At 65.9% G+C, this 27,828-nt stretch overlaps 1 protein-coding gene and 1 non-coding gene across 6 annotated transcripts, besides 3 other annotated features; both read right to left on the reverse strand.

The window, feature by feature from the left end:
* JAG2 (jagged canonical Notch ligand 2) lies at positions 1-27,782 on the reverse strand. 5 transcript variants are annotated; one of them, NM_002226.5, is made up of 26 exons: positions 27,361-27,782; positions 26,763-27,113; positions 16,712-16,769; positions 14,744-14,995; positions 14,568-14,628; positions 11,167-11,297; positions 10,944-11,063; positions 10,632-10,745; positions 10,289-10,402; positions 9,997-10,110; positions 9,871-9,917; positions 9,610-9,783; positions 8,176-8,326; positions 7,943-8,095; positions 7,751-7,864; positions 7,332-7,445; positions 7,122-7,235; positions 6,778-6,894; positions 6,506-6,533; positions 6,332-6,417; positions 5,617-5,730; positions 5,391-5,506; positions 4,737-4,979; positions 3,936-4,067; positions 2,488-2,644; positions 1-2,176 (listed from the first exon to the last, which is right to left on the reverse strand). In NM_002226.5, exons 1-26 carry the CDS (start codon positions 27,424-27,426, stop codon positions 1,701-1,703), a joined length of 3,717 nt encoding a protein of 1,238 aa, NP_002217.3. In that variant the 5' UTR covers positions 27,427-27,782; the 3' UTR covers positions 1-1,700. The 5 variants fall into 5 exon arrangements, with proteins under 5 accessions (NP_002217.3, NP_660142.1, XP_047287308.1 ...); NM_145159.3 differs by lacking the exon at positions 9,997-10,110; XM_047431352.1 differs by lacking the exons at positions 26,763-27,113; positions 27,361-27,782 and adding an exon at positions 26,163-26,527.
* Positions 9,784-9,870, reverse strand: MIR6765 (microRNA 6765). The gene has a single exon (NR_106823.1). It is a non-coding gene; the product is annotated as a microRNA 6765 (primary transcript).
* Positions 13,997-14,595: an enhancer, noted in NCBI's record as "H3K4me1 hESC enhancer chr14:105621328-105621926 (GRCh37/hg19 assembly coordinates)". NCBI's record gives its function as "activates a minimal SCP1, AML or CMV promoter by ChIP-STARR-seq in naive H9 embryonic stem cells {active_cell/tissue: H9 hESC(naive)}" and the evidence as "EXISTENCE:reporter gene assay evidence [ECO:0000049][PMID:30033119]".
* Positions 22,218-22,965: an enhancer, noted in NCBI's record as "H3K4me1 hESC enhancer chr14:105629549-105630296 (GRCh37/hg19 assembly coordinates)". NCBI's record gives its function as "activates a minimal SCP1, AML or CMV promoter by ChIP-STARR-seq in primed H9 embryonic stem cells {active_cell/tissue: H9 hESC(primed)}" and the evidence as "EXISTENCE:reporter gene assay evidence [ECO:0000049][PMID:30033119]".
* Positions 26,504-27,003: an enhancer, noted in NCBI's record as "H3K4me1 hESC enhancer chr14:105633835-105634334 (GRCh37/hg19 assembly coordinates)". NCBI's record gives its function as "activates a minimal SCP1, AML or CMV promoter by ChIP-STARR-seq in naive H9 embryonic stem cells {active_cell/tissue: H9 hESC(naive)}" and the evidence as "EXISTENCE:reporter gene assay evidence [ECO:0000049][PMID:30033119]".
* Positions 27,783-27,828: the final 46 nt, after the last annotated feature.

The raw sequence follows: 27,828 nt of genomic DNA on the forward strand, positions 1-27,828 counted from the left end.
TTTTTATTCGTTCATTCATTTATTCATTTGTTCTGCCTGTGCAAGGCAGCCTCACTCCCAGGCTGTCAGCAGGACTTTTTTTTTCTCTTTTGTACAGATCTGGTTCTTGGCTTTGCTCCTTGACTCAGTTGACCTCCTACCCCTCACAGCAGGGTAAAGACTTGCACATCACTGACAGGCGGCTCGGAGTCAGCCTTGGAGTCGGCCTTCCATGCCCAGCCCTGAGGCCACCATGCCACGTTCCAGTTGGCTCAAGCAGTGAGGGGCAAAACCAGCTCCAGGGCCAGGTGGAAGGGCTGCTTCTCTCCTGCCTCCATCAAATGCTGACCTTGCCTCTGAATGACCAAGCAAAACAAAGGAATAAATGAATGAATAAAAATTTTGACCTGTTAATTCCTTAAGACCTTGATACGTATTCGTGGGTAAGCAATTTTATACTATTTTATAAAACTGTTTTCAGCTGTTTTAGTCAGGGTCGGGTGCCAGGCACCTAGACACCCCCCTCCCCATTCCCAGGAAGGTTTTGGCCAAACCTGCATCCACCACCTTGGCATGCCAACGCATTCGAGGCCCTGGCAGGCCCCGACTCAACAGAACCGTCTCGCCCTCTACAGCCACCACAGCCACGTGGGCCAATACCCAGCACGCGCCCCACTGCCCCAAGCCTCTCTGCCGGCGTGGCTCTCCCCCAACCTCACTCTCAATACAAAAGGGACAGCACCGAAAGAACAAGGGAGGCCGGAATGGTGGCATTATTCAATCAAATATACAGAGTGCTTCCTTTAATATGTACACATTTACAAAAATGCACTTTCACGAGGAGGGGCGGCCGGGGCCGGCAGGTGGGCAGCGCCTGGTGCCACGGCACGCGTGGACAGTTGCGAGGGGTCTGTGTGAAGGCACTTGTCACGAGCTTCAATACTGCCGCCGTCCCAGGATGGGAGAACTGCGCAGCAGGAAGGGCACTTCTGAAAGCACAGTGGAGAGATCGCTGGAGCGGGCGTTCTGGGCAGGAGGAAGCACAGACGGCAGGCAGGGTGGACTGGCCAGCAAGCGCGAGGTTGACCTGCCAGCCTTGGGCCACGCCGATGACCTCAGGCCCCACTAACAACCACAGGTGCGTCAACAGCCACGGGCCGTGCCGGCAGCCAGGGCCACATCAATAACCAGGGTCCCACCGACCACCGTAGGTCCCACCGACAGCCACAGGTCCCATTGACAGCCACGAGTCCCACCGACAGCCACAGGCCACACCATCAGCCACGGGTCCCACCAACAGCCATGGGCCACACCAACACAGCCATGGGTCTCACCGGCACTTTGGCCTGGAGCCACAGAGAAACCCGAGTGAGGAATAAAAGGAAGATTCTGTAAACAGTGCACAACCTCTGGTAACAAACGCTACGATTTGGTGACGACGCAGACACCCTTTGCTCTCTCCTTTCATACAGCGAGTGCCACGCACGGAAACTTTACAAAAATAGCAACTATCCGAGAATACTCCATTGTTTTCAGCCTGACAGTTACTGAATAATTTATACAAGGTTAAAGAAACGTAGAAAATAAACATTTGGTTTTTGTTTTTGGTGGTTTTTTTACACAAAATAAAGAAACTATGCACATGGCCTCGGCCTCCGGGTCCGGCAGACGGCATGGCTCCCACCGAGGGCCCTGGGTCCCGGCCCAGCTGGCAGCCGCCCCTACTCCTTGCCGGCGTAGCGGGCCTCATTGATGCTCCTGACCGCGCGGTTGTCCACTTTGGGGCCTGAGGCCCAGTGGGCCGGCCTCCCCGGCGAGCGGCCAGGATCTTTGGTGAATTTGTGTGAGAGGAACTTCTCCGCCTCCAGGGAGTCCTCCTCACCGCGGCCCAGATCCTCGTCCTCCTCATCCTCCCTGACGGCCGCGTGGCCGGCCGGCCCGGGCAGCGCCTCGTCCGCCCTGCGCGGCGGCGGCGTGAAGTTCTTGCACTGGTAGAGCACGTCCTTGTGGCCCCCCGGCCGCTCAATGGGGTTGCGGATGGGGTTGAGCGGGGCCCACTGGTTGTTGGCGCTCTCCTCCCGCGGCAGCCGGCTCCTCTCCCGCTCTTTCCTGCGCTTGCGTGTCCACCACACGCACAGGACCACGCACGCCAGCCACAGCACGCTGAAGGCACCACACAGCACAGGCACCAGCAGACCTGGGGACCGGGGAGAAGAGCCGGTGGGCAATGAGGCCTGGGCACCTGCGGGGCACTAGCCACACACCCAGGCCTGGGAGGGCCCTGCGGGCCAGGCGGCCGGGCCCCACCCTCCGGTTGCTGGCTCGTGGGGAGGGTCCCAGGACGGGGGCTGGGAAGGTCAGGTTGTGGGGCTGGGCGGCTGGGGCAGCAGGTGCCAGGGACTTCTGTGTTCCTGGTGGCTGGCAGGATCGGCAGGATCGGCCGGCTCTGTGCCCAATGCCTGAGTTGCCTGCCTGGTGCCTTCCCAGGGGCCCACCTCCCGCGCTTACCTGTGGAAGAGCCGCCCGTAACAACCGTCTCCACCTTGACCTCGGTGACAGCCAGGAGCAGTGAGCTGTTCCCCCGCTGGGTGATGGCGGCCACGATGGCGTGGGCCGCGCCCTGGATCAGGCTGCTGTCAGGCAGGTCCCTGGCAGGGCTGAAGGACTGCGGCAAAGAACGGCATTGTGGGGATGGCTCGAGGGCTCCAGGCTCCCAGCAGCCTGCCCCCAACACTGAGGCCCTGGCCACACTGGAGCAAGGTGGGCGCACGGGAGACGAGAGCCCGGGGTCCTGCAGTGGCGACTTCACCACCAGGCAGTGAGTGGGGAGTAGCGGGGGGAGGAGTGGAGGGGTGGAGGCTGTCCCCATCCGGGCACACAGGAGAGCCCAGGGTCCTGAGGTGTGGGGACCTCACCACCAGGCAGCGAGCAGTGGGGGGAAGGGGAGGGGTGGAGGATGTCCCCATCCGGGCGCACGGGACAGCCCAGGGTCCTGCGGTGGGGACCTCACCAGCAGGCAGTGAGGGGTGGGGGGAAGTGGAGGGGTGGAGGGTGTCCCCGTCCGGGCACACAGGAGAGCCCGGGGTCCTGCGGTGGGGACCTCGCCACCAGGCAGTGAGTTGGGGAGGTGTGTGGCCCCATTCGCTGACACCTGCTCCGTGATGGCCATCCCTTCTTGTCAGTTCCCAGCCCCCACCCCCACCTATGGGCCACACCCCAGGGGCACCACAAACCTAGTGCCTTCACGAGGCCACAGCAACCCGGGGCTGTGCCCCTGCCTCCACCACATCCCTGATGGCGCCCTGACCTGTGCTGGCACACTTCTTACATCTTCCCCTGCCCCTACTGCCCTTCCATCACCCAGCAGCACCCATCCATGTCCCCCACCCCCTCTGCGGCCTCAGGGCACCAAAACACTGCACGTCCTTCCTGTGCCTGGCCATGGCCTCCACCAGCCACACTGTGCCATGGCCACACCCACTGCTCTGCACACCCACCCACCATGTTCCAGAACATTCCCTCCCCTCTCCGGGCATGTCTCCACCCCAGTCTCACCCGACCCCCTTGGTATCCATTCACATCTGACACCCCCCAGGTCCAGGGCAGGTGCCAGTCCCAAAGCAGGCCTCCCAGGGCAGACTAAGCCCACGGACTCTCCTGCTGCCTGTGACGTAGGGACACAGAGACAAAAACAGAGCAGGGGACCGGGCGAGGATGCAGCTGCAGGGGAAGCGGGCTCCACACCACAGCCCTGCATCTCCCTCATGCTGGCCAGGCCCAGGGAGCAGTTCCACGGGTCTGCGGCATGGACAGCGAGGGGCCGCAGGGAGACAGGCCTGCCCGCAGTCCTTCCGCACCAGGACTAGCCTCGCCAGAGCCTCTGTCCAGCATAGCCAGGACCTGCATAGTACGGGACCCAGGGCCCACCCAGGTGCTGCTCCCCACTGGGCACTCACCACGGCCACCTCCACAGCACTGGCCCCCGAGGACGCCCGGTCGCAAAGCAACACCAGCAGGCGGTCCCGTGCCACAGCCCTTGTGGCTGGCAGGGAGCGGATCCCGGAGCAAATGGCGCCCACCGTGGTGCCCTGGGCAGAGACAGGCAGTGCGTGGGCAGGGCAGGGCCGTGAACCTGACACCTACATCCCTGGACTGGCGCTGTGGGTACACGTGGGACACACCCTACAGCCCGCCCAGGAGAGCACAGCAAGGATGCCAAGGGCCTGGGGGGGCAGCTTCCCACCCGGCTGTGCCCTATACCAGGAGGCAGGAGTGACGGTGCCCACCCGCCCATCCTCAGGGCGGACCCAGCTCCACCTGCAGGCCAGTGGGGGAAGGAGAGGCAGGGCGGGGTACAGTGGGTCTCCTCCAGTTCTGAGCCCCTCCTGGGAGACAGGGGCCCAGCTCCAAGCACACAGCAGGCAAAGGTGGCTCCTAGGCCAGGGCAAAACTGCCCACGGAGCTACAGCCCAAGAGCTGGGGCCAGGCAGCCATGGCGCCGTCAGTCCAGGCCCTCAGGGCAGCTGGACAAACAGGCACCCCCAGCTGGCTGCTCTCCCAGCCTCCTCTGCCACCTCCACCCAGCACCAGGCCCAATGCCCCTCTCATCTGACCCCACAGGGCCACTCTCTGTGACCAAGAGTGACTCTGCTCAGCCAACCAGGGCCTCCCTGCCCTGCGGGGCTAGGCTTTCGCCATGCCACGAGCAGATGCCGGCGTGTGGCCTCTGCAAGCTCAGATGCCACCAGGCCCCTCACCTGGGGCACGTGGTCACGGTTGAAATGCAAGGTGAGGCGGGCACAGTTATTGTCCAGGTGGCCGGAGCGTGGCAGGCAGGGGGTGCTCGGTGGCTCTTCTGCGCCGCACTCCCCCCAGGCCTCACAGGGTGGTCGCAGACACTGGCCTGGGGCCTTCTCCAGGCACCTTTGCCCCAGTGGGCACTGGGCGCTCAGGGCCTCGGGCTGGCCGGCCAGCAGACAAGGCTTCCATCCGCACCACACCTGGGCAGGCACGCACAGGAGGGTCAGGCGCAGGCGCACAGGAGGGTCAGATGCAGGCACACAGATGAGAACCCACAGGCAGGCACGGGCCCCATGCCAAGGAGGGACACCGCCCAAGTCTGTGAGCCCCAGGGCCCAGCCCACCCCCTACCCAGGGCTCCCAGGGAGGCAGGCCAAGCTCGACATCAGAAAGGGCAGGCGGAGCAAGGCAGGACCCAGACCAGGCCTGTTTTCCCAACTGCACATCGAAGCATGGGGCCTGGCTGAGCTCTCGCCTCCCTGGGTGTCCCTGAGGGCAGACGGCTCTCAGTCCATCCGGACCCCAGCACCCGCCTCCTGATCTCACAGAGTGGCCAGGGTCAGCGTGCACCAGCCTCGGGTAGGGCAGGGCGGCTCACGGGCTGCCCTCACCTTGCTGCAGTCACGGCGGCCATCCAGGCAGCGGCAGCTGTTGCAGTCTTCCACCCAGGAGCTTCCGTGTGGGAACGGAGTGCCCCGGGACCAGCAGGATCTCCCGAACCCGATCACTGTGGGGAGAAGGGGCTCGAGGGTCAGCAGTGGGCATCTGGCCCTCGGGGCTGGGTGTCACCCATGCCCCCCAACCCGCCCCAACCCAGGGCAATCACACGGGGCCTACCTTCCTGGCACCGGGGGCCGGCTCGGCCGGGTGGGCAGCTACAGCGATACCCGTTGATCTCATCCACACACGTGGCCCCGTAGGCACAGGGCGAGGACTGGCACTCGTCGATGTCTGCAGGGAGAGCCACCGCTGCTCAGTGCAGTGAGGCCAACGCCCACCGCAGGACCGGCATGGCCTAGGGCAGCGGGGAGCCAGTGGCACACAGGCGCAAGCCCCAGGACAATGAGGAGCAGCCCCTGCCCCCGAGCCCAAGCTGCTGCCTGCCTGAGGCCTTCCTGAGCCCAGCCTGACCCTGGCCCAACAGCACCCTCCTCCGTCTGCTTCTGCAGTGGGCCTGTCCCATCCTGGATTAGCCCCAGCTGCTGCGTCGGACCAGCCAAGGGGTGCTGGACAGACAGCTGGGCCAACACCCAGGGACAACAGCCCTGCGGCCACAGAGGAGCCCACGTCAGGCTGCACGCTCCAACCCCCACAGCTCCCTGGGCCCCGGACTGGTCCCCCAGGCTGGGGCTCCCCACTTAATCACTTGGCAGGGTATACAGCAGGAACCCCACAGGGCACAGACATGTGGGGAAACTGAGGCTCAGAAGAGAGGCAGGAAGTAGTTGTGGCCACACTGCCCTTCAAGGGACGTGGACGTTGATGTCCCCAGACTCCTGACACCGCGGCTGGGCTGAGGGGCTCCCAGGGCTGGGGCTGTCTGGCCACTCACTGATGCGGCAGTCAGGCCCCGCGAAGCCAGGTGCACACTCGCAGCGGAACCAGTTGACGCCGTCAACACAGATGCCACCATTGTAGCTGCAGAGCAGAGGGTGGGCATCAGGTGGCCCCCCGTGGTATGCCAAGTCCCACCCACCCCTGCTGTGGCCCCCAGGGTGCCACTCACCAAGGCAGAGGGTTGCAGTCGTTGGTATCTGGTTTGGGAGAAGAGAACGCAGGGGATCAGTACCCACCCCCCAAGCGTGCCAGGCACTGTCCAGGCTGGCTTGGCGTGATCAGGCTGTGGGGCTGGGGAGGGTCATCAAGGAGGGTGCCTTTTGCTGGGGGCAGGGGCAGCAGGGGGAGGGGCTGGCAGAAGGGACTGGGGGGCGAGTCGGGGGCAGGGATGTCATCTGGGTGGAGGAAAGCGGCCCCCGCCCACACCCCTCCCACACTCACTGTGAGTGCAAGTACGACCCTCCCAGCCGTCCCGGCAGATGCAGGAGAAGGAGGCCCCGCTGCCCACGCAGGTGCCACCATTCACACAGGGGTTGGGCAGGCAGCTGCTGTTCTTGGCTGTAAGGAGAGGAGGAGGAGGGAGCGTCTCACCTGGCCCTGGGCTGGCCCTGGGTCTCCATACCGCGCCCCCAACCCAGACAGGGCAGACAGACCCGGGGGCAGGGGGCAGGGGGCAGGTGGCAGGTGTGGCCCTCAAAAAAGACCCCTCGGCCCATCGCGCCCGAGGGAGCGGTGCCTGGGAGGGCATATGCCCGGCGGTCGCAGAGGCAGCGGGGGCTCCTCACCGACGGCGCAGGTGCTGCCCTTCCAGCCGGGGGGGCAGGCGCAGCGGAAGGTGTCGCCGCTGTCGTAGCAGGTGCCACCGTTGCTGCAGGTGTAGGCATCGCACTGGAACTCGCCTGTTGGCACATGGGCCGCTCAGCAGGCAGGCCCCAGACCGCCAGGGCCAGGGTCCTGGGGGCAGCCCCAGGCGGCCAGGGCCTGCGGACACTCACGTGAGTGGCAGGTCTTGCCCTTCCAGCCGTCGTCGCACGCACAGTAGAAGTCATTGACCAGGTCGTAGCAGCGGCCGCGGCTGTGGCAGGGATCGGGAAGGCAGTCGTTGGGATCTGGGGGCGAGGACGCCGGTCAGCGGGCGGGGGGTCACCGGCGCTCAGGGAGGGCTTCCCGGGGGAGGAAGCACTGGAGCTGGGCCAGGTGAGGACAGAGAGGGGCGGGGGAGGAGCGTCGGGCCGGGGGAGCTGGCCTCGGGCATGGGGGCAGCCTGGGACTCCACCCCATGGTGGCAGCACCCCCTGGCCAGGCCTTTCTGGGTACGGGGCCTGCCGCACCCAGACAGCGGTCCATCTCAGGGTGATAAGGGGCCCACAGGGGTGGAGGCACAGGCCGTGTGGGCGGGTGCTGGAACACTCACTGGTGTCGCAGAGCTCGCCCTCCCAGCCGCTGGGGCAGAAGCAGCGGAAGGCGTCCACCTCATCGATGCATGTGCCCCCATTGCGGCAGGGCTGGCCCAGGCAGTCGTCAATGTCTGCAGAGGCGAGCGGGGTGAGCCAGGGCCTCAGGCCAGCCCAGCCCCACCACCAGCCCGCCGTTCGTGGCCACTCACTCTCATGGCAGTAGGTGCCAGTAAAGCCACTGTCACAGATGCAGGAAAAGTTGCCCCCTGGCTGGCTGACGCAGCGTCCATGGGGGCCACACACGCCGGAGGCTGCTGTGCCAGGCATCCCAGGCCCCGCGTCTGACCCGCAGCCATCGATCACTATGGCAGGCAGTACAGTCAGGAGTCAGGCCCGCCCCTGCCCCACCACCTCCCCCACCACCCCATGCCGCACCCAGCACCTCTGCAGGCCCCGCCAGGGCACGGCTCGCGGGGCACGGAGCAGTTCTTGCCACCAAAGTCATCAGGGCAGGCGCAGTAATAGTCACCCTCCAGGTTATAGCAGCGAGCGCCGTTCCGGCAGGGGCTTGGCTCACAAAGGTCGACATCCACCTGCAGGGTGGGGGGTGCCTGTGAGAGCCTAGGCCCAGGCCCAGGCCGGGAACACAGGCCAGGCCTCTGTCCATACGAAGGTAGATCCCTGGGGACCCCCAGGCCCCTCCGCCCTGGGCCTAACAGTGCCAGCCAGAGCCCAAGACCCCTGCCCACCTGAGACTGCCCAGGCCTTAGCTGAACGCAGATACCTGTGGGCCCCCACCCCCACCTCCACTGCAGCCCAGCTTCCTCACTGTCCCTCGGGAGGAGTGTGGCCTTGGCCCCTGCTGCTGGCAGGAAGGACAGCTCCTGAGCCCCTCACACACTGCCTGGCCACCCTCAGAGCCAAGACTGTGGGTCTTTTCCAGGGCCAGCCACTGCCATGCTTGCAGGTCCTGAGGTCAGACCCCTGCCCTGGGCCCCAAGAAGCCCTCTGGACAGGAGGCCCATCCTCTGCACCAAGGCCAGGGCAGGATCGTGGGCGGCCGAGGGTGGTAGGGAGGTGGGTGGGGGGAGGCAGGGAAAAAGGGGAAGTAAGGGGAGGGGGTGGTAGGGAGGCAGGTAATGGGGAGGCAGGGTTGGGGGAGGTGGGGAAGGGGGTGGTAGGGAGGTGGGTGGGGGGAGGCAGGGTTGGGGGAGGTGGGGAAGGGGGTGGTAGGGAGGTGGGTGGGGGGAGGCAGGGTTGGGGGAGGTAGGGGAGGGGTGATAGTGAGGTGGGTGGGGGGAGGCAGGGTTGGGGGAGGTGGGGAAGGGGGAGGTGGGGAAGGGGGTGGTAGGGGTGGTGGGGAAGGGGGAAGGCAGGTTACTTTGGAGGCAGGGGGGAAGGGGAGGTTGGGGGAGGGGGTCCAGTACCAACAGATGGTCAGAGGGAGGCGAGAGCATCAGCCCTGAGAGAGATGCCCACTCCGACCCAGGACTCACCTATGACAGGTGTATACCTCTCCACCATCAGGCACCCACCCTACCCCATGTGCTCTGCCCACCAGAGCCCCCTGCCCTCCAGTCCCGAGGGAGTGCACAGATGGACAGATAGGCCTGGGCAGCCAGCAGCCCGGGGGCTCCTAGCCCAGGCCACCAGGAAACCCATCACAACAAGCAATGGCCACAGGGGGCCAAGCCTGGTGACCTGTGACAGCCCCGCCTGCCCACCTGGCACCCAGTGGAGAGCTGAGCCTGGGACGCCTTGGGGACAACTTCCCCTGCAGCACCCCTGGGTCACTCAGGCCCCATGGTCAGGGGACGAGGCCTGCCCTACAGCTCCCAGAGCAGCAGGTGGGGCAGGGTGACCAGGCAGACCTCACCTCACAGAGAGGCCCGGAGAAGCCCTGGGGGCAGTGGCAGTGGAAGCCGTCGGCCAGGTCCTCGCAGAGGCCGCCGCTGTGGCAGGGGCTGCTGGCACACTCGTCTCGTTCCAGCTCGCAATGCCGGCCTCCGAAGCCCCGTGGGCACACACACTGGTACCCGTTCACCAGGTCCTGGGCGGGCCAGCCAGGTGAGCGTCCCGCAGGCACCCTGACGGCCCCGCAGCACCCACGCCACACACCCTCCTGGCCCCGCCTCACCTTGCAGGTGCCCCCATGCTGACACTGCCCGCGACAGTCGTTGACGTCTGGGGGCAGAGGAGCAGGGTCAGAGGCGGGGTCCCATGTGCCTCGGCCCACCCGCCGGCGCCCACCCCCCATACTGACTGATATGGCAGTTGATGCCCTTCCAGCCCGGGATGCAATCACAGTAATAGCCGCCAATCAGGTTTTTGCAAGAAAAAGCGTTAAGGCATGGCTTCCCTTCACACTCATTGGCGTCTGTGAAAGAGACAAGGTGGGAGCCGTGGGGCTCGGGCCCTGCCTGCCCCCTGCAGCACGGGCACCTGGCACCCGCAGCCCAGCAGCCCCAGCAGCCCCAGCAGCCCCCGCAGCCCCAGCAGCCCCCGCAGCCCGCATGCGCGGCCCACGTTCCCATGCACTCGCTCGGAGCCCTTACCCAGCTGGCAGGTGGCCCCCACCCACTGCTCGGGGCAGATGCACTCAAAGCCGTCCACCTGGTCCACACAGGTGCCACCGGCCGCACACGGGTTCGAAGCACACTCATCGATGTCTGCAGAGGGTGGAGAAAGGTGGGGCCCTGGCAGTGTGAGCCGTGGGAATAAGGTCCCCATGGGCAGGTGGCGCTGCAAGCCTGGGTCTTCCTGCCATTTGTCCTCGCCAAGCCAGCCGCAGCCACACGTGTGGACTTGACCACTGCACCCCATCCCCAGCGAGTTGCCCCACTCCCAGACCCCCACTGATACTAGGCAGGAGTCCCCTACTCACGTGCAGACACTCACCAAGGGCACAGGTGGGCCCGCTCCAGCCCGATGGGCAGTGGCATTCGAAGCCGGACGGCACCTCATGGCAAGAGCCCCCGTTGGCACACGGGTTGGAGGTGCAGGCGTGCTCAGCTGTAGAACCGCGGGGAGGGGGCAGAGCTGGCAGCCAGGCCCCCAGCTTTCCACAAGCACTCCTCCCCAAGCCCACAGGTTCCCAAGCTGGGGGTCAGGGGCCCACCACACAGGACGCCAGAGGGATGGGGCCTGACCGGCTCCCCAGGGAACCAGTCCCTGCCTGGCCAGAATTTGGGTGGCCAGCCCCCCACGTACCCTTCTCACAGTTCCTGCCCGAGTAGCCGTCAGGGCAGGTGCAGCGGTACTGGTCAGGCTCGGCGTTGATGCACGTGCCTCCGTTGGTGCAGGGGTGGTGGCTGCCACAGTAGTTCAGGTCTGGGGGCAGGGGTGGGATGCTCAGGGGAAAAGCCGGCCCCCCGCTCCCCCACAACCCACACTTCGATGGCAGAGCATTAGGCCTGCCGCCCCCTACCACTACCTTTGTCACAGAGCAGGCCGCCCCAGTTGGTCTCACAGTTGCACTGCCAGGGCTCCACACAACTGCCATGCACGCAGCCGGGGTAGGGGACACACTCATCGCAGAACCTCCCTTGCCAGCCGTAGCTGCACCTGGGGGAAGGAGGAGGGGCGCAAGACCCAGTGAGCTGTGGTGCCTGAAAGGGTGGCAGGGGAGCCAGGCACAGTCACCCACGCCACACCCAGGGCCGGCGGGCGGCCTCAGGCCTTTGAACTGGAGCAGCCCCAGCCAGGCAGGGGTTGCAGCCCTGCCGGCCAGCCCCACTGTCACGGGCATTCCCGGCCGCTGGCTGCCGACGGTCAGCCCCAGCTGTCCCGTCACTCCTCCCTGAGCTATTTTGGGATTCACCCGTGAGCTGGGCCCCGAGAGCAGGCACCAGGAAAGGAAGGCCCTGCCGGGACCCCGGGGATGAGAATGCCGGCTCGGACTCACAAGGTGCTGCCAGGGCCGGGAGGCACCAGGGGCTGGGTAGGCCAGCGGGCAGCAGGGGAGCACTCCTGGCTCTGCCTCGGCCATGTGGCCCTGGGCACAGCACGTGCCCTCGCCCCCACCTCAAAGGCAGTCATTTCGCTCGCTCCCAGTAAAGTCCCACAAGGTACCCATCTCACAGATGGGGCTACTGAGGCCCACAGGCTGGCCTGGGCCAGCCCTGCCCAGGGTAGTTCCTGATTCTGCAGGAGCTCCAGCTGCACCCCCAGCTGCACCCCCCAGGACACAACCACCAGGACTCGCCCTGCCCCAGGCTATCGGCCAACGTCCTGTCTTGGGAGTCCCCCAGGAGAGGGCAGGTGGCCAGGGTAGAACATGGCCTGACTTGAGGGTGCCTCCGTCAGGGGAGAGAGCCTGCAACGACCCCAAGGCTCAGCAGGCTGCCATCCAGGCCCTGCCGGGACTCCCGGGGGGCCCTTCCTAGAACTCTCCGGTCCTGCAGGACGGGAATGTCATCCAGGCCACGTCACTTCCACACCGGCACCCGCCACACTTTATTTTTGTAAAAGGAAAGAACCACGGCCCTTCCTGAGCCGCCCTCAAGCCACACAGCCAGCACCGAAGGCCTATCAGCCCAGTTCAGCTGCCACAAATGGGGAAACTGAGGCCGGGAAGAACGTGTCTCCAGTATCCAGCCCAGCATGCACAGTGGTCCGCGTGGGTGGCCTCACATCCCGCCTAGAATCCCTCCTCCACAGACACAGAGACCCAGGCTCAGGGCGGGGCTGTGACACACCTTGGGTCATCGGCCAGAGAGCGGCCACAGCCGGGCTCAGAGCCCAGACCTCGTGGGTCCCAAGGGCGTGCTCTCGACCCTGGGCAGGGCAGCCCACACCAGGCCCCCACCTCCTGGTTTCCCCAGCCAGCAGCCCCAGGGCCCTGGAGAGGCGGCGGCAGGAAGGCATGGCCATCTCCGCAGCATCCGGTGGGGGGGCGTCCTGCACTGGAACCTGAGCCGAGGCTGTCAGCAACAGCTGGGCCTCCCCGACAGGGCCAGCAAGAGGGGCAGGCGGAGCTCACCTACTGCCCCCACCCACCAGGCCCCCCAGACTCCGGCTCATCTTCCTGCGGGTAAAGGGCAGGGATGGCCAACTTCTCTGCTGCCTTCCTCCAGCCTTGGTGTGACATTCAAGCTGCCAGCCAGCAGCCATCCAGGGAGGGTGGCACTGCCATCCAGGTTGTGTGATGCACACTGGGCCAGGCGAGGGTGAGTGGGGCCGACTCCCGTAGATCTACATCTACATCTGCCCAGACCAGGTCCACCTTGTTGCACTTTCTGAGCTGACTTGGGACTCGCTCAACCTGCCGGGAATCCCTGTGTGTGCAAGTGACCGGGTGGGCGGCCCCAGCCCTGCTTGCCTCCCCGCTCTGGGACTGGCCGGGAAAGCTCCTCACTGTACCCTCCAGGCCACTCAACCGTGGGGCCTGTGGAAGGGTCACCCACCTCCCCACCTTGGCTCCCAACTCAGCTGGTTCCCAAACTCCCCGACTCCTCTCCAAAACGCCACGCTGTGTGACCCTGGGGAAATCAGTAGGCTCTCTGTGCCCCAGTGTCCTCGTCCCATGGAGGCAAACCCACTCCACAGAGGGAGGTCCTGGGACCCCTGCAATCCAAGGCTGGCTGGAGGGCGGTGCTCACCTCCACCTGCTGTCTCTCCACCCGCTCGCGCCCCTCTCTCGGGCTCCCCAGCTTGCTCACGCACAGTGAGCGCCACGGCTCGAAGCCCGTGCCCACCCCAGACCCTGGGCCCCAGCCCCTCTGGTTGCCCTGCTGACTTCTCTGCTCCACTCTAGGGCAAAGCTGCCAGCCCCCCTGGCTGGATCCCCCACACTCTGGTCTGGGTCCAGAGGCCTCCACCATCTGGACTTGGCTGTAAGACCCCGGACACTCCCTTGTGGAGGCCCTTGCTGACTCCTCATCCATCCGCCCTGACCTGTGGCAGCCGGGACTTGCTCCTTGGCCTCCCTCCTCTCTGCCTTCCCCACTTTCCCGTCACCGCCTGAATGCCACCCCCCACAGGCCCCGCGTGGCGCAGGCCAGGCCTCTCCCACGAGCTTTCTGGGTGTCTCCAGGGACAGGGCAGGCATCGCCTCTCCACATCCAGCTAACCCCGGCCCCGCCTGCTCCTCTGTGGCATTCCTCCTGCCACCATGGCTCTGCTACTCAGCAGCTTGGGGTTCTCCCTGACTCCACACCCTTCCTGCTTGATCAAATCCATCCACAAACCCCTGGGCTCCACCCCAGGATGTCTGCAGGACCCGTGCGCCTCTCCCCCTTCCACTGACCCCCTCCCCATCCCGCTGGCCCCTCCCCCACCACCCCCACATGCCCCACAGCGGCCTCCCCCTCACAGCCTCCCGTCTGGTGCTTCCCCACTCAACAGCTACCACAGCCCTTCCACCCACCTTGCCCAGCTACAAACCTGCCAGCAGCCCCTTCCTCTGTCCCTGGTCCTGCAGGCCTCAGCTCCCACCACTGGTCTGCTCTGCCGCCCCTCGCCTGCTGGTGTCACTTGCCGGCCGCTCGCCGCCCACCCCCTCCCCATGGGCAGGGTTACCGTGTCCTCTGCCCATGCCCCATCTCTGGGTGGCTTGCAGCCTCCGGGTCTCTGCCCCTCGGTGACGTGACTGTCCAGCCAGCCTCCCCAGTCTCTCCTCACTGTCCTCACATGGCTGCCGCCATCAGACACATCCCATGCTCAGACACGCACCTACTGCACTAAGGAGCCTCCCGAGCTCAGGGCCCGGCTCTCACAGCTGTGTGCCCAACCTCCAGCCAGCTCCGGGCGACTCCTGACAGCAAGGCTGTGTGTGCCAGTGAGGACGTGAGGGCAAAGGTTGGGAGGGCAAAGACGGGCCGGCGGCACACTCACCTGCACTCCCCAGGCACGGTGCATCCCCCGTGGAGCAAATTACACCCTTGTTTACACACAGCTGCGAACAGAGAGGAGCGAGAGGCACAGCTGCAGCCAGCCTGGCCGCAAGGCCTGTGCCCGGGGCCCTGCCCGAGGCCCTCCCTGCCCTCCACGCAGCCCAGCGGCCCCCTCACCTTCCTTGCACTCCTTGCCCATCCAGCCGTCCATGCAGGCCTTGTTGCCGTACTGGTCGCAGGTGTAGTGGCCGAAAAAGTCGTTGCGGGGCCGGCAGAACTTGTTGCAAGTGGCGCTGTAGTAGTTCTCGTCGCAGCGCACGCGGATCTGCAGCTCCAGGTGCGCCACGTGGCCGCTGAAGTGCAGGCTCTTCCAGCGGTCCTCCGGGTTGATCATGCCGGCATGCGACACTCGCTCGATCAGCAGCTCCTCTTGGGGAGGCGGCAGAGTCAGCACAGGCCAGAGAAACCAGCCCGGCCAGGGGTCCTCCAGGAACAACGGGGACGGGGCAGAAGCCTGCGGCTGCTGCAAGGCCGGGGCACAGCAGGCAGCAGCACACGGAGGGCAGGGCCCCCGGCCAGGCTGCTACAGAAAGCTCAGGGCCCCGAGAGGCCTCTCCCTCCCGCCACCAAGCCTGCGCCCCGCTCCCACCCTAAACGCAGAGGGTCGGGGGGCCCGGCTAGGGGCTAGGGGCCCTGCAGGGAGGGCTGCTGAGACCACAGGCTCCACAGAGAAGGCACGGCTGCTGCCAGGGCGTGAGTCTCACGTCCCACACCTGTGCCCACCCACCTGCAGCCCTGCTCCAACACCTGCACCCACCTGCGCCGTGTCCAGCCCTCGACAGCACGGACATGGTGCTCAGTTGCCCTCCCCTCTCCTGCGCTGTGACTTGCTCCCAGAAGTGCCAAACACCACTACCGTCCCCACCTTAAGACAAGCCTCCCCTCAGGCCCCCAAGACAGGCATAGGTCCCGTGACCCGCTGTCTAAGCCTCACTTTAAGTAAGCCACCAGGAGACCAGGGGCCAGGGGCACCACAGCTGCTGGCGCTGGTATGCAAAGTCCGTGATGCCGGTCCCTGCGCTTAGGCACAGGCTCGACGTTTTGCACAATAAAAGGTGAACGGGTCCTCCAGACCCCACCTCTCCCGCCTCGGGCCAAGGCCTGGGAGGACACTGTGCTGGCCCACTCCCCAAGGGGCGTCCCGGCCGCCCCAGCCTCTCCAGGCTCACGTTGTCAAGAGCCCTGACGACCTTGCTTGGGACTCAGCCCACCTGTCTCTCTGCCACCCCCTCAGGAAACACCCCTGCCCTGAGCCGCTGGGGTCCCCACAACTGCTGCTCCCCACCTGGGCACCCCCACCGCCGTCCCTGCCCTGAAAACAGCCCCTCCACTCTGCTGGCAGCCAGGATGCCCTGGCCCCGCTCTCCCTCCTCCAACCCATTGGCCAACCCCATGCCTCCACTTCTGAGAGCCCCTCTCACCCCCAGACTGCCCCTGGTCCAAGTCACCCTGACACGCCCAGATTCACGTGGCAGCTCCTCCTCGGTCTGTGTCCTGGCCCCACAGCCCACCCTCCATAAGGCAGCCACAGCTTGCCAGGCGGAGCCCGTGTCCTCTCAGTGGCTTGCCAGCCTCCATGATCTGAGCCCAGCCCCGGCTGCTCCCCCTGCACAGCCAGCCCGCTCCTGCCCAGACCTTCACACGAGCTGCTCCCTTGGCCTGTGGGTGCTTCTGCATTCACCCATGGAAGTCATCCCGTTACCCCTGCAGGGCCCTGCAGAGCCCCTGCCTCAGGGAGAGGGCCACCAAGGCTCCATGCTCCAGTACAGACAAGCAGAGGGGGCCACAAAGCCAGAGACACACTCAAGGGTGTCCCCTCCACTAAGTCACTGCCATGGGCCCCAAAAGAGCACACCCAAGAGGAGAACAACATAGGCAAAGCCAGGACTGGGGAAGAGAGTGCATGCACAGCTCTGCAAGTCCCAAACGTGGCAGAGCTTCCTGGCAGCCAAAGCAAAAAGGGAAACAGCACACATGATCCTCAGGGTAAAGCAAGGCTTTGTCCCAAGCAGACAGAGGAGCTGGGCCCTGCCACAGGCACGCTGAAGCTGAGAGGAGCTGCCACCTGGCCCAGGGCTCACTCACCATTCGGGGTGGTATCGTTGTCCCAGTCCCAGGCCTCCACGATGAGGGTAAAGGAGCGCTGCAGACATGGGGAGGCGGGTCAGGTACCTGAGGCCACACCTGCCTGCCTCGTTCAGGGTGGGACAAGGCCCAGGGCTCAGACGCTGCCCCTGGGTCTGCCAGGCTCTGGCCCTTCCTCCCCAGCCAGGGACCCACCACCCTCCTCATCCTCAGGCCACATCCTCTGCAGACCCAAAAATGACCCAGCTCAAGGGAGGGAGACTGCCCCTCCAGGCCACGCGGGCTCAGGGGCCTGGGCTCCCTACCGTTGGGGTGCCAGAGGCCCAGCCTGCCCTGAGCTGGCTCAAGTCAGCACGGAGCACAGGAAGAGCGACCGGGGGGAGAGGTGGGCAAAGGGCAGCCTGGCTGGAGTGGCCACAGACAGGGGCCCCATGGGCAGCCGGGACCCGAGCGTTTCCTGTGGAACGCCCCTTGGTGCCTCACTGGGGGTGACCACGGGGGAGAACGTGGGGCCCCATCACCACGCTGGCGGCCTCCACCAAGTGCACGGGGTGGCCAAGTACAGGGCGCCCAGCCAGAGGCCCCAACAGGCCGGAGCTCAGGTCCTGCAGGCATACAGCACACAGGCAAACCCACACCTACCTCCACCCTCACACAGAACAGGTGGCAGGAGGGGCCCTTGCGGTACAGTTGGGGAAACTGAGGCCAAGAGGTCCTGGGACTGCCCAGCACAGCCTCAGACCATGGCCACTATGCCCCCTCTGCCCCCGGGCCACCTGGCCCTTGTACCCCAGCCATGGCGACAGGCGATGCTGTCAGCCAAGCAAAGAGACCACAGGGCTGGCCCCCTGCTCCGCCTAGTGCAGCCCACGGAGACCGTCACTCACAGACATGCTCAGACAGGTGGGACCCCCGGGACATGCCCTGTACTACCCAGCACTGGGTACCCACATTCCACAGCCTCTCAGCCCTCACTGCCCAGGAACCCCCCAGTCTACCCCTGGTGTGCTCTTGACCCCTGAGCCCAGCCCTGGCTCCTTCCAGGTGGGGCCCAGAGGAGGGGGCTGGGGCTGAGTCACCTCAGGGCCTGCTGGCTTCCCACCCCGGGGGGATGCTGCGTTGGGCAGTGTCCAGGCAGGCCAGGCTCACTCCATCCCTCAGCACACCCCATCCAACCAGCCCCAAGGCCTGGCTAAGCTGGGGAAAACCACACTTCCCCAGCAAGGCCCAACCCCACGCCTGCCAGCCCTTCCCTGGTCCTCACCCGCCGCCCACCCCACGCACGTCCCAGTGCCTCGGCCTCATCCAGCTAAGGACAGGCCTGGCCTCCCAAGATGTCTCAGAAGACTGCACTCCCACGTCCAGCCCCTCCCCTAACCAACGTGCTACCAGCCACACCCAGCCCAGCCTCCAGGACCCCCACCCAGTCCCCCGCCCCACACCTCCGACTGTCCCTCAAATACAGACAACTAGGGCCCAACATGACTGCTGACCCTGGGCCTCACTCACAGCTGGGCAACCCCGGCCCCGCCCCCGAGCCCCTGCCTGCAGAACACCCGGGGACGGCCCGAGGAGGCTCACCCAGGTAGGAGCACAGGATGGAAGTGGGGGGCCATCCCCAACCCGCTCCTAGAACCCTCCCTAGCCACGTCGAGCTGACAACAGACCCTCAATCCCACCTCTTAAGCTCCCCTTAAACCCGTTTTCCCACATCCGCCATGGCCCCGCCAGGCCACGGGGCCCAGTCCCCGCCCATCTCCAGGGCTCCCTGAGGTCACCAGGGCCCGCAAACCTCTGCCTACAGGCGCCAGACAATCCCCAGAGTTCCATCCACATGCCTCCCAAGGCTCCGTCCACACCCCCCGCCGAGCTCTGTTTACACCCCCCAGAGCTCCATCCACACCCCCAAAGAACTCAATCCACATCCCCCAACGGGGTTCCATCCACACCCCCCAACAGGCTCCATCACCTCCCCAGGGCTCCATCCACACCCCGCAACATGCTCCATCCACACCCCCCCAGAGCTCCATCCACACCCCCCCAGGGCTCCATCCACACCCCCCCAGAGTTCCATCCACACACCCCAACATGCTCCGTCCACACCCCCCCCCAGAGCTCTGTCCACACCCCCCAACATGCTCCATCCACACCCCCCAGGGCTCCATCCATACCCCCCAGAGCTCCATCCACACCCCCCGAGTTCCATCCACACCCCCCAACATGCTCCATCCACACACCCCAACATGCTCCATCCACACCCCCCAACAGGGCTCCGTCCACACCCCCCCCAGAGCTCTGTCCACCCCCCCCAACATGCTCCATCCACACCCCCCCAGGGCTCCATCCATACCCCCCCAGAGCTCCATCCACACCCCCCAACATGCTCCATCCATACCCCCCCAGGGCTCCATCCACACCCCCCAGGACTCTGTCCACACCACCCCCAGGACTGTGTCCACACCCCCCAAGGGCTCTGTCCACAAACCACCCCCGTCAGCTCCATCCACACCCCCCAGGGCTCCATCCACACCCCCACCAGGACTCTGTCCACGCCCTCTCAGCTCAGAGCACCCTTGGGGTTCCCAAGGCTCCTGCCCACCCCCACCCACCCACCCCAGCCTATCAACCCATCTGCCTGGAGCACCACCCTCGCAGCTGCACCTGGCCAAGCCCTTCCCCACCCCCGGTAACACCTGGAGCACCCAGCCGCTTCCCAGGCGTCTGGCATTTGGCTCCTTCCTTCGTTCCTTCCTTCCTTCGTTCACATCAAGTGTACAGCAGGCATGCCTCTGCCACCAAGGACGGCAACCTATAGCCAGCGGGGCTCGGGGAAAGCAACAGGGGGCAGGGGCTGTTGTTCCAATAAGGCCAGGCCAACGGGTCACAGTGGCTCACGCCTGTAATCCCAACACTTTAAGAGGCTGAGGCAGGCAGATCACCTGAGGTCAGGAGTTCGAGACTAGTCTGGTCAACACGGTTAATCCTCATCTCTACTAAAAATATAAAAATTAGCCAGCCATGGTGGCAGGTGTCTGTAGTCCCAGCTACTCTGGAGGCTGAGGCAGGAGAATCACCTGAACCCAGGAGGCCGAGGTTGCAGCGAGCCGAGATCGCACCATTGCACTCCAGCCTGGGCAACGAGGGCAAAACTCCATCTCAAAAAAAAAAAAAAAAGGCCAGGCCAGGCTTTGAACAGGTGGCATTGAGATTGAGGCTGCAGGGCATGAGGAAGTGAAGGAGCTGCATGGCAGAGCCCACAAGAAGGCCCAGGGGCTGAGAACGCATAGCCCACGGGGACAGTGGGGTCATACCACAGATCCAGACCCCACCACGGACTTCCTTCCTGAGGCTAAGCGAAGTGGGTGACTGTTGCGGGTCTGAGTGAGGTCTGTTCGGGTGTTGGGGGTCCGAGTGAGGTCTGTTGGGGGTCTGAGTGAGGTCTGTTGGGGGTCTGAGTGAGGTCTGTTGTTGGGGGTCTGAGTGAGGTCTGTTGTTGGGGGTCTGAGTGAGGTCTGTTGTTGGGGGTCTGAGTGAGGACTGGGACCCACCAGGCTTTAACAGTCACTGTAGCCGCTGGACAGGAACCAGCAGGACCAGGAAGCAGCAATAGTGAGGTCAGAGGATGGGGCCAGCATGGGTCTGAGAGCAGCTCTGGCCACGGGGCAGGCAGAGAAAAGCCAGGCCACCCGGTCTCCCGGCACAGCCACACCTGGGCTTCAGGGCCAGCAGGGAGTTCCTCTCGACTCCCAGGAAACCTCATGCCAGCCACTCAGGTAAGATTACTGCCACCTTCGCCTGAGCCCAGGGCTCCGGTTACCTGCTCCCGCAGGGACGTGTGCCTGCCCGCCCGCCGAGAGGGCCTCACCGCCCGCCAGCTGGGGTCCCTACACCTGGATGGCAGGAAGTCATCCAGAGTGAACCTGAGCTGGCTGACGGGGCGGTACCTGCCTCACCCCACCTGCCAGCTCTCCCAGCTCCCCTTCTTCCCTAGGGGCCAGCCTCCAGGACTTATTTGCCTCTTCTGTGAATAACAACCTCTCACCCCCGTCCTTCCAGGACTCAGTTGCCTCCTCTGCGAATAGCAACCTCTCATCCCTGTCCTTCCAGGACTCAGTTGCCTCCTCTGCGAATAGCAACCTCTCACCCCTGTCCTTCCAGGACTCAGTTGCCTCCTCTGCGAATAGCAACCTCTCACCCCTGTCCTTCCTGCCTGGCGGGCCACGATCTGGGACAGGGTTTTGTCAACACCAAACCCCTAGAACACAGGAGGGACTATAGGGCCTGGATTGGGCGGGGGTTGGCGGGCATGTTGCCCTTCTAGGAACGGGGCTGGGACATGTGGGGATGTGGGCCTGGCGCTGGCAGGGGCAATAGGCGATGTGTGGGCTGGGGGTCTGGGGACAGGTGAGAGACCCATCACCTGCCCAGGTTCCCCGGCAAGCAGGGAGAGGAACCCAGGCCCTCCCTCAAGGCCAGCCTAGCAGGGCTATGCCCCTGCCCAGTCTCTGGAGGCCAAGGGGGAAGGGCTTCACCCCTGCAGGCCCAGCTAAGCCTCTCCCTACAAGCCCGGCCTGACCCACCCCCACCGCACAAGCAGACCCGCAGCCCAACTTCATCTCCCACCATCTGATTGCCTCCTCCCCAGCCCGAACCCTCAAGGCTAAGTCTAAACCCCTCCTCCTGTCCCCAGGCAGGGGCAACAGCAGTGGCACAAGCCAGAGGACAGGCAGACAAGACAATAGATGTTCCACCCCAGGCCAGGGCACCTCAAAGCCCAGGGTACCCCAGGTCCAGGGCACCCCAAAGCCCAGAGTATCCCACAGCCCAGGGCACTGCATGGCCCAGCATACTCCAAGACCCAGGGCACCCCAGTTCCAGGGCACCCCAAAGCCCAGGGTACCCCAGAGCCCCAAAGCACTGCATGGCCCAGCACACCCCAAGGTCCAGGGCACCTTAAAGCCCAGGACACCTCAGGTCCAAGGCACCCAAAGTACAGAGTACCCTCCTGCCCAGGGCACCCTAGATCCAGTACACCCCACAGCCTTGTGCACCCCATGGCCCAGTGTACCCACAGTCCAGGGCACCCCAAAGCTCAGGGCACTCCAGGTCCAGGGCACCCCCAGCCCAGGGCACTGCATGGCCCAGCACACCTCATGGCCCAGGGTACTCCAAATGCCAAGCACCCTAAGTCCACGGCACCCCACTGCCCACTGTACCCCAATCTACAGCATCCCAAAACTCAGGCAACCCAAGTCTAGGGCCCTGCACGGTCAAGGCCAACACAGCCTCCCTGCTGCCCCGCTAACGGCCCCCCCAGGTCCAGGGCCCTGCACGGTCCAGGCCAACACAACACAGCCTCCTAGACCTGCTGCCCCACCAACGCCCCGACTTGGTTTCTTCTCCTCGGCCTCCCGCATCAGCCTCCCGCCCCCTACGGAGCACAGCGCTTGGTGCAGGCGCCAGGAGCTCCAAGCACAGATACATTTCCTGAAACCTGAGCTTCTGAGAGGCCCAGGCCTCTGCCACCATTGTCACCCGAGGCAGGGAAGAAGGGGTGGGGGCAAACACCATCCCCAGGGCTCTGGGCCCCAGGGCCGCAGCAGGAGGAGCAGACCAAAGCCCATCCCACGCAGGAACACACACACCCATGCTCCACACCAGAGACCAGCCAGGGCCTTGCCTGGGTGTACCCCCACTCCCCAGCACACCCCCTCTAGGTCCCAGGTCCCCCACCGTGAAGACGGTGGCAGCCAGGGCCGGCTAGCACCTGCCACAAAGCCCAGGGTACAACTGATGCCAGCCACACCCTGCTCAGGCCTGGGATGTGGGGATAGGAATCCCGCTCAGGCCTGTGGTCTGGGGACAGGGACTCCGCTCAGGCCTGTGGTCTGGGGACAGGGCCTCCGCTCAGGCCTGTGGTCTTGAGGACAGGGACTCCGCTCAGGCCTGTGGTCTGGGGACAGTGACCTCACTCAGATCTGGGGTCTGGGGACAGGGACCCTGCTTAGGCCTCAGGTCTGCAGACAGGGACCCTGCTCAGTCCTGGGACCTGGGGACAGGGACCCAGCTCAGGCCTGGGGCCTGAGGATAGGGGCCCCACTCAGGCCTGGGGTCTAGGGACAGGGACTCCAATCAGGCCTAGGGTCTGGGGACAGGGACCCCGCTCAGGCCTGGGGTCTGGGGATAGCGACTGTGGCTGGGGCCTGGGATTGCAGATCCTTGTCTTCCTGCCCCCACTCCACCACCAGCAGCAGCTCAGGCCGAAGCCTGGCTCCACAAGCACCCCTTCACTGGCCTAGCTTGCTCCCCTCATAAAGACACCATGGAGCAGCCCAGGAGGGCCCCTGAGAGCAGCAGTCCCCTCCCACCCAGGCCTGCCGCCTGCTCCCCAACCCGCCCCTCCACCTCCCAGCCTTCCTATCGTGCTGCGGCTTTGACCCTTCAGCCCACCCTCAGGGACCAGCGACAAACCCCCAGCCCACTCTCCAATCCTCCCTGGCCAAGGGCAGTCCTCCCTGGCTCCAATGGTCCCCGTGTTGCCTGGGCACTGAATGCCCCACCCTGCCCCCATACCAAAGCTTTGAACCAGACCCCCAATGTACAAGGCGGACATGCCCTGAGTTCTCCCCAGGGCTCTGGGCCCCAGGGCCATGGCAGGAGGAACAGACCGATGCCCACCCAACACAGGAACCCAGATGCCCACATTCCATACCAGACCAGCCAGCTCTCCTGGTCCCTACTGGGAAGGTGTGGGAAGGAGGGGGGTGGTCCCCAGTGTGCAGACAGGATCCCCTGAAGGTAGGGTGGGGAGGCCAGGGCCCTGTCATCCCCAGCCCAAGCTCAGAAAAAACAGGAAGCAGAGTGGTGCTGAACCTCACACCTGCCACGAGCAGCTTAGGTAGCTCCAGGCACAGACCTCAGCCTGGCCCACCTTGAGCCCTAGGGCGGCTGGATGCAGGGGGTGGGCTCTGTAAAAACCTTCCTCCCTAGGGGGCAAAGGAGAGGGTAGGGAAGGCTGGGAAGGGGAGGAACTGGACAGGTCTGGGAGCCGGGCTGGGGGCACAAGCAGAGCCCGAGCTGGGAGTCCAGCAGCCCCATCTGACTTCGTGAGACCTGCAATGAAAAAGCGGCAGTGTGCCCCTTTCACAGGTGAGAAAAGCTCAGCCCTTCTGATGGCCCAGGACCTCAGGCCTCCTGAGCTGATAGACGCAGGGTCAGCCCCAGGCCCACCTCCTGTATCTACAGGGCCTTCACCCATCCCGTTCTCCTCATAAGCCCAGATCTGTCACGGGGACCATGCTCCAGCCACACCACCCCGCACAGCTGCCCTGGAGCCCAGCACACACATGCCAAGACAGAACAAGAAAGACCCTCGCTGGCAGGCAGGCTCCTGGGCTCCTGGCTCCAGAGATGGGCCAGCCAGGCAGGCACGACTTCCAGCTGCACCTCTGAGGGTGGGGCCCTGGCTGCCCAGGTCACGGCCAACTGCCACCACCCTGCTCCTCCCTCAGCCAGCAGGTGTCCCCTGGGCCTGCCACCTACCAGGCCCCAGAGCAAAGCTCCCTGCTGCCCCCAGCATGACACTACTCCTCCCCAAACCTCCATCACCACCTGCCATGCCTACAGAGCACCCGGGGTGCGTGCACACACGCAGCTGGGAGAATGTGGCCTCACCCTGCCAGCTACAAGCCAGGCACCAGAACCAACCCAGGCTGACACCGGCCTCCTGGGGACGTCTGGGGGTGGAGCCAGGAGAGGAGGGGCAGCCAGGCAGCCTGCTGGCATGTGGTCCACCACCTCTCCACATTCAAGACCCTGGGCCCACCCACTGAGGGAAGCTGAGCCCGAGACCAGCACAGATCCATGACTAATAGCACACAGACCCCGGCCACAAGAAGCCAGGCCAGGGGGCAGAGGGCCACCCAGCCAGGCCTGGGTCAACAGCAGAGACCACAAGGTGGGAGAGTCACTCAGGGGGCAGGGGGTGGAGGGAGCGAATGCAGAGCCCAGACTCCCCCACTCCTCTTCCACAAGGCCCTCTCATTCCCTTTACTCCAAGGAGCCCAAAAGCCCCACGGGCCTGGGCAGGATGCCACCCTAGCCTCCAGGCTGAAACCCCTCCTCAGGTCCCAGGGAGCCTGAACTCGGTCCTTGCCTTCCCATCACAGCCAAGTACACCTCAGCTCACCGCACAGAGCTGGACCTCAGCAAGCCAGGGCAGCATGGCCAGGGACTGCCGCCGCCCGAGTGCAAATACCAGGGTGCTGGCATCACGGCACAGCTCCCGCCCGGCAGCCAGGCCACATGGCAGGAGACCAGGGCTGCCCCCAAACACGCAGCTATGACTCTGCCCTGGCCCCCAACCCAGAGACAGGCCGCCTGCCCCCTCCTGGGGCATTCGAGGAACCGGCTGGAAGCAAGAGGCAGGGAGGTGAGCTGGCCCCGAAACCCAGTGCCCGGACTCCAAGGAAGGCAAGGGCCTACCCGGTCCCATCCCACACCTGACCGGCTGGCCCGCGGGGCGAAGAGCCAGGGCGGACACGCGATAGCCCGCCACATTCCTCCAAGACCTCCCTGCCCCCACACCCACTGCTGCCAACTCGAGCAGAAAACACATCCTCAGGTAGCGATGTGGGGCCACGCTGGCTCAGGCCCAGGTGCAGATGACAGGCTGCGGGCCCTGCTCAGACCTGCCTGCTGCACCGCCGTGGGGGCGAGGGGCTGGGCTTCTCACAACTGCCTGGGCCCTCCCATGCCCGCCCCTGCCTTTTCCATCTGGGGGACACTTTCCCCTCTCTGGGGCCCCCCTGGTCAAGGGATACTCGGCGGGGTGCTCACGGGTTGAGGACATGGCCAGAGGAGACTGTGGCCAGCTTCCACGGGTGGGAGCTCAGGAAGCGGTGAGGATGGGGGCAGCAGGCAAGGCTGCCAGCCAGGGCTGCAAAGGTACAGCACAGGACTGGGAGCCACACACGGCAGGCCCAACTGGCGTGAGCTCGGCAGGGATTGCCCTCAACTCACAATCACTTCAGGGCCCAGGATACCAGGTGGGCACACTCCGGTGCCTCCTGCTGACTGGAGCCACTTCCTGGCTCCCAGATCCATCTACTCCCTGATCACAGGTCTGCATGGTGCTCTCATTCCCGCACTCACCCAGTTCCAGGCCCCCAGCACAATGACCAAGCAGGGAAGGACCTCTGGGCACCAGGGCAAGGCCGTGCTCCAGGCAATGAGGTAAGGCGCCCGAGGCCTGGGCCTGCCCACCTACCACTACCCACCTGCCAGCCCACTGGGATGAGTACCTGTTTCCCAGTGACACTGGACCCCTACCACCCCTCCTCCCAGCACGCCCAGGCCAGGGCTCCTGCCTGACTGGCCACCTGCCAGGGGAGACCAGACAGCCCCGACTCAGCTTCTGCCCCTCCAGAATAACAAAACCAAAAAAACCCACAAACAGGGCAGTGCCACAGAAGGTCACTGCACCAGGATCCACTATCTCTGTCTCTGAACGATCTTGGGTCACCATCGGGGGCTTCTGCCGACATAAGCGTTAGGCGTTAGGCTCTCCCGGGCCTAGGTCCCACGGCGCCCGCCCGTGCCCCCCAGGCATCCAGGAAACTGCAGGGCAGGCGCAGGCTGGCCACGGGCCCGGGGCGGCTCAGTCAGGGCCTGCCCTAGACCAGCCCCAGCACGCGCTGCGCACATGCCACCGCGGCCTGCCCGGGACCGGGGCGCCTCGCCTCGCCTCCCCACCCAGACAGACACGCGCAGGGCGACGCAGGCACACGCCGCACACCGCCGCGCACGCGGGACGCCGCCGCCCCGCCCCCGCCGCGACCCCGCTCCCGGTGGCCCCGGGGCCCCGGCGCGCCCACGTGGCCAGGCGCGGACCAAGTCCCCAGAGCACGCGCCCCCTGCCGGCCCCGCCCCGCCTGGGCGCGCGCGGCTCGCACGCAGACCCGGCCGCAGGTGTTGGGGGTCGCGAAGCGCGCGGGGCCGGGGCGCGGAGAGAGAGGGAAGGGCTGGAGCACGAGGGATGGAGCGCACGTACCGGCCAGGCGAACTGGAAGGGGATGACGACGAGGCCCGGGTCCTGGTCGCCGCCGGCCCGGGCCCGCGCCCGCGCTCGGTCCCCCGCAGCGCCCGCCGGCGGCAGGTAGAAGGAGTTGCCGCCCAGCACGGGCGTGGCGCCGTGGCCGTAGCTGCAGGGCCCCGTGGGCGTCACCTTGGCCTGGTACTCCTTAAGGCACACGCGCACGTACGTGTCGCACTCGTCGTGGCCGCAGCCCCCCGCGCGCGTTGTCCGGCCGTCGCCGTCACAGCAGGCGCCGCTCAGCAGCTCCCCGTTCACGTTCCGCAGCGCGCTCAGCTGCAGCTCGAAATAGCCCATGGGCCGCGCCGCCTAAAAATAAGGCAGCGGGAGAGCGGAGGGAGGCGCGGGCCGGGGTCGGCGGGCCGGGCGCCAGGGGTGGGGGAACAGGCCCCGCCGCCCCGCCCCCACCCAGCCGCGCCCGCCCGGAGCCCCAGCCGCCGCGCGCAGCCTCGAGGGCTTCCGAACCACGGCGGCCCCAGGCAGTGCCCGCCCGGCCCCTAGGGGCGGCCCGGTGTGCCCCGTCCGCGACCCCCGCCGCCCCCGCCGCCCCGCTCACCTGCACCCAGAGCGCCAGCAGCAGCAGCAGCCGCCGGGGAAGGCGCCCCCGGCCCTGCGCCCGCATTGCCCCCGCGACCCGCCCGCCCGGCCCCGCCGCCGCCGCCCGCGCCCGGCTCCCAGCCGCCGCGCCGGCCTCCCAGCGCCCGCCCGCCCTCCGAGCGCCCGCAGAGGCAGCGGCAGCGGCAGAGGCGGCGGCGGCGGCGGCGCGGGCGGGGTCGAGCGCAGCGCCGCGGCGCGCGGGCCTGGGCGGCGGGCGTGCAGGGGCGGCGGCAGCTCCGGCTCGCTGGCGGCCGCGCTCCGGCTGCCCGGCCCGGCTCCCACCCGGCGGCGACGGCGGCGGCGGTGAAGGCAGCGGGTCCCGGCCTCGGCTCTGCGCGCCCGCGCTCCCGGCACCGCAGCCAACAAGTTCGGAACGAGACTGACAGCTCGCTCGCCCATTCGTCACCCGCGCACCTGCATATGCATG

This window comes from Homo sapiens, chromosome 14 (genome assembly GCF_000001405.40).
Source record: "Homo sapiens chromosome 14, GRCh38.p14 Primary Assembly".
Lineage (NCBI taxonomy): Eukaryota > Metazoa > Chordata > Mammalia > Primates > Hominidae > Homo > Homo sapiens.

Bases quoted from the DNA above. Each gene is read 5' to 3' on its own strand.
- JAG2 (NM_002226.5), bottom strand. From the start codon at position 27,426: ATGCGGGCGCAGGGCCGGGGGCGCCTTCCCCGGCGGCTGCTGCTGCTG. The intron at 16,770-26,762 runs GTACGTGCGCTC...CCATGTCTGCAG, and splicing joins CCTTCCAGTTCGCCTGGCCG to CGCTCCTTTACCCTCATCGT. The intron at 6,534-6,777 runs GTGAGTGTGGGA...CTCCCAAACCAG, and splicing joins GGGTCGTACTTGCACTCACA to ATACCAACGACTGCAACCCT.